The following is a 4760-nucleotide window of genomic DNA, read 5'->3' as shown; positions in this document are numbered from 1 at the left end:
AATAAAAGGAGGAGAAAAATGGGTATTAAAGGACTAAGAATTGGGAGGACCCAGGACACCCAATTAGGGAGTGACCAAGGGGGTTCAGTGAAATTACTTGCTTGGTTGGTAAGTTTTTGGGCTCTATCCTTGAATTTTTTTATGTTGTCATACACCAGGCCAGATTGATTTAGGTAAAAACAACACTCCTCATTTAAGAATATGCAGAGTCCTCCTCTTTAAGCAGTAAGTAAGTCAAGGCCTCGGCGGTTTTGGAGGACAACTGCAGCTAAAGAGTCAACTTGGGCCTGGAGGACTGATAAAGTTTGTGATATGTCTGTGATGCTAGCAGAGAAGTCATTAGAGAGGCTATGGAAGGTCGTGACAGAGGTTGAAATGCCTGCTATTCCAGTACCGAGAGCAATAGTGGAGGCAGAAAGTCCTAAACCGACCAGCAAGGGAATTAGTGGAATAACTCTTTTTTGTCGTGTCACTGTCATGAGGGGAACAGGGAGCTCTTTGGTCCCAATTGCAAATTGAATTTTGGGGGTAAGGAAGACTAGTGTGCATGTGCCTGTCCAATTAGCAGGTAGACACATGTAGGTAGAGGATCCACAGAGGAAGAACAGACCTTGTGTGAGGCAAAACTGGAGATGTAAAGTAAAAAGATGAGAAGGAGTGCTGAAAGGGGTGTCTTGTACCCAGACTCCTAGGGATCCAGCTAAGGCAGCAGCTGTCAGAGATTGTAATGGGGACTGATGGGGTAACTGCATAGAGGGTGAGGTTCATTTTTCATGGTGTATGAGAAAACGTTGAGTATCTATGAGCAACCTTTCACTGTTATTTTTGGGGCTGGGTATAAGTAAACAAGAAGAGGGCCTGGGAGGAGAGTCTGATGAGCAAGGGGAAGGTAGCCAAGGATGGAGCGAAATACAGGGCAAGTGTCTTCCTAGGCAATAATTACTGTTAATGTTTTTAAGTTTGTCAGTATTGATAGAGGGCTTGTCTGTAATATGGAGCTGGAAGGCTCCAATTATTTCAGTGATGTGTGTAGTTGGACTTCGGAGATGAAGAGTAAAGGAACATCGAGAAGGTGAAAAATTACCTAGGGGAATTCCAGTGGGTCTTTGCCGAGAGATACATAAAGGAGCAGCCACAGGAATAGTAGTTTTTGTTGTGAGAGGTCCAAATATGGGGGGAGTAGAGTTAATATAAGGAGAAAGGTTTTTTAAATAATTGCGAAGGAGGGCGGCAGCTTGCTGATGTGAAATGTCTGGGGAAGTCTTGCTGGACCTGTCTAGGAAGTAAATGAGTTCTTCAGGAGGGTAAAGGTGAGGGCTGTTAAAGGAAGTTCAGAGGTGTAGGGAGACGGGAGGTGTTGCCCAGTCTGTCTGTAAGGCGGGGACAGCTGTGTAGGCACTGGAAGAAAGAGACATGCAAAGCCAGCAGTTGTTCGCCAAGGAGGGATTAGAAGCGGCTAGGAGAGAATGGGTAAGGTTGATAGTGTGGTGGAGATAGCTGGGGAGAGGTAGAGGGTGGCATAAGAATGGGAATGAGAATAAGAGTGAGTAAAAAGTAAAGAATAGAACTTCATCAGGGTGGAAGTATTGGAGGGTGCCTTGCCAGCAAAGATCATCTACCCACTCTAAGAGGGAGTTAAGAGTGGCAGTTTGGGGATAGCACCAAGAGATATCAGCTGTGATGGTTTGAAGAAACAGTGTAAACCAGCAGTGTAAACAGGAGTAGGGCATTTATAAGTAGTTGAGAATGGAGAATAGGAGTATGACCGGACAGAAGATAGTAGGGATGACTAGTTTTTTGGGGCTCAGCCTAAGTGGTGGGGGTGGCTTCATAAAGCCCTGTTGCAAAATGTAGGGTAAGGACGAAAAGACCTAATAGAATGAAGGGATGTATTAGGCTCATAAGAGTTATTACTGTTCTTCAGAAATACGAGTGAGTTTAAGGGAAGTAGGGGAGAGTACTTGCGACTTCCAGGAGGAAGAGGAGGGATTAGGCTGGCTGTCCGATGGACACAGCTTTATTCTGGAACGGTGAACCAAGTGGGGAGGATCCTGCAGGCGGACGGCAGTCGGGGTACTATAGATGACTAAGTAGGATCCGGCTCATCGAGGTTGTAGAGTTTGAGGGGTCAGATTCTTAACAAGAACTGATCGTACAGCTAGGGTGTCTTCATATGGCTGGGGATCCTCCACTGTGAGAGTTACCCAAAGCTCGGCATCTGTGATGGTCCAGGGGGCTTCCGAGGCGATCGGGCAGCGTCAATCTTCAGTCACTAAGCCAAGCAGATCTGGGAAGGAGTCAGTCAGAGAGCCTTGGGCTAGAGCTTTAGGGGCTCTAGGAGTGGCTCCCGGGCGAGCTGGGCAGTCTGATTTCCAGTGGGTCCCTGGGAAATTTGCCTGGTGGTTCCATTGGGGATCCTCTCAGGGAACTGCTCTAATGCCTTCCTGGAGGTCTGGCTCATGAAGCCGGTGGTTATCAGCATGAGATTGGGCTAGAGAAAAAACTCTTTCCTGTTCATCTGGGGAGAGGGTAGAAGTCAGGATGACATTTAAGTTACTCCAGGTTAAGTTGTAGGACAGAGTTAGATATTGGAATTCCTGTATATATTTAGTGGGGTCTGATGAGAAAGAGCCTAAACGTTGACTGATCTGAGAGAGGTCTGATAGAGAAAAAGGTACATGTACCCTGACTATGCCTTCAGCTCCAGCCACCTCTCTAAGAGGAAATTGTTGGGCAGGTGGGGAAGAGCTAGTCGCGGAACTAAACTGTAAGCCGGACCAGGTGTGAGGAGGGGAGGTGATAGAAGGATTATAGGGTGGAGGAGTGGAGGCTGAGGAAGTATCGGGAGTTAGCTCGGTCTGGTGACGAGCAGCTTGGGGAGGAGGGGAAAGGTCAGATGGGTCTGTAGAAAAGGAAGACTGGGAAGACTCAGCGATGCTTGGGGTTGGGACTGAGGGGACAGGCAGGAGGGAAAGAAGGAGGATCTGGGAGGAATCACATTGGGAACAGAGGCTAGGGAGGGAATGAAGTGTGAAAAATGCCTGGACGTAAGGCACCTCAGACCATTTGCCCATTTTTCGACAAAAATTATTTAGGTCTTGTAGGATGGAGAAATCGAAAGTGCCGTTTTCTGGCCATTTAGAGCCATTGTCAAGTTTGTATTGGGGCCAAGCAGTGTTGCAGAAGAAAATAAGGCATTTAGGTTTTAGGTCAGGTGTGAGTTGAAGAGGTTTTAAGTTCTTGAGCACACAGGCTAAGGGAGAAGAAGGAGGAATGGAGGGTGGAAGGTTGCCCATAGTGAAGGAAGCAAACTCAGAGAAAAGAGAATGTAGAGACACAGAGGGAAGGGGTTTCGGGGTTCTTGCCCCCTAGAAAAGCAGGACTTGCTGCTAAGGGTGAAGGAGAAGGGGTTGAGGGGTACTTGCCCCTGCCCCAGGAAAGTGGGACTTGCCGCTAAGGATGAAGGAGAAGGGGTTGAGGGGCACTTGCCCCTGCCCCAGGAAAGCAGAGAAGGGGTAGAGACAAGGAGAGAAGGGGTTGGGGTACTTGCCCCTTCCCCAGAAAAGCAGAGAAGGGGTACAGACAAGGAGAGAAGGGGTTGGGGTACTTGCCCCTTCCCCAGAAAAGCAGAGAAGGGGTACAGACAAGGAGAGAAGGGGTTGGGGTACTTGCCCCTTCCCCAGAAAAGCGGGACTTGCCAATAAGGGTGAAGGACCAAGGCAGGCGCCCCTGCGTGGTCTGACACCCTTGAAACGTGGGTGTATAATCAGAGAGGCGTCCCTGCATTGATTAAACACCAAGGGAAGGCTGCCTTCCCAGTCCGTGACTGGCGCCGGAGTTTTGTGTCCACGGATAAAACGTGTCTCTTTTGTCTCTACCAGAAAATGAAAGGAATTGAAATTAAGAGAAGGGAGAGATTGAAGTGTAGCGCCAAGATTGAAAGAAGAAAGAGGTTGAGGGATAGTGAGGGAAGTTGGAGAAGAGAGTAAAAAGAGGCCGCTTACCAGATTTGAAATTGGTGAGATGTTTCTTGGTCTGGTCCGTCTGAGGACCTGAGGTCGTAGGTGGATCTTTCTCACGGAGCAAAGAGCAGGAGGACGGGGGATTGATCTCCCAAGGGAGGTCCCCCGATCCGAGTCACGGCACCAAATTTCATACCCATCCATGTGAAGAGACCACCAAACAGGCTTTGTGTGAGCAATAAAGCTGTTTATTTCACCTGGGTGCAGGTGGGCTGAGTCCGAAAAGACAGTCAGCAAAGGGAGATGGGGTGGGGCCATTTTATAGGATTTGGGAAGGCAATGGAAAATTACAGTCAAAGGGGGTTGTTCTCTGGTGGGCAGGGGTGGATCTCACAAAGTACATTCTCAAGGGTGGGGAGAATTACAAAGAGCCTTCTTAAGGGTGGGGGAGACTACAAAGTCCCTTCTTAAGGGTGGGGGAGATTACAAAGTACATTGATCAGTTAGGGTGGGGCAGGAACAAATCACAGTCATGGAATGTCATCAGTTAAGGCTGTTTTTACTTCTTTTGTGGATCTTCAGTTACTTCAGGCCATCTGGATGTATACGTGCACGTCACAGGGGATGCGATGGCCTGGCCTGGGCTCAGAGGCCTGACAGGCCCCAAAATCACTAAGCTAAAAGAAAAATTCAATCTTGCAATTTCTTAGGGCAAACATGCCTCCCATTCTATTCAAAGTAATCCCACTGTTCACTTAGATAAATGCATATCTGATTGCCTCCTTTGGAGAGGCTAAT

The 4760-nt window shown here is 48.1% G+C and overlaps 1 long non-coding RNA gene across 1 annotated transcript; it reads right to left on the bottom strand.

Annotated features, from left to right (window-relative positions):
* Window positions 1–2001: 2001 nt before the first annotated feature.
* On the bottom strand, window positions 2002–4257 carry LOC112268468 (uncharacterized). The gene is made up of 2 exons (XR_002959799.2): window positions 4005–4257; window positions 2002–2518 (listed from the first exon to the last, which is right to left on the bottom strand). It is a non-coding gene; the product is annotated as an uncharacterized LOC112268468 (long non-coding RNA).
* Window positions 4258–4760: the final 503 nt, after the last annotated feature.

This window comes from Homo sapiens, chromosome 4 (assembly GCF_000001405.40).
Source record: "Homo sapiens chromosome 4, GRCh38.p14 Primary Assembly".
Taxonomy (NCBI): domain Eukaryota; kingdom Metazoa; phylum Chordata; class Mammalia; order Primates; family Hominidae; genus Homo; species Homo sapiens.
This window is presented reverse-complemented; position numbering and strand designations above follow the sequence as displayed.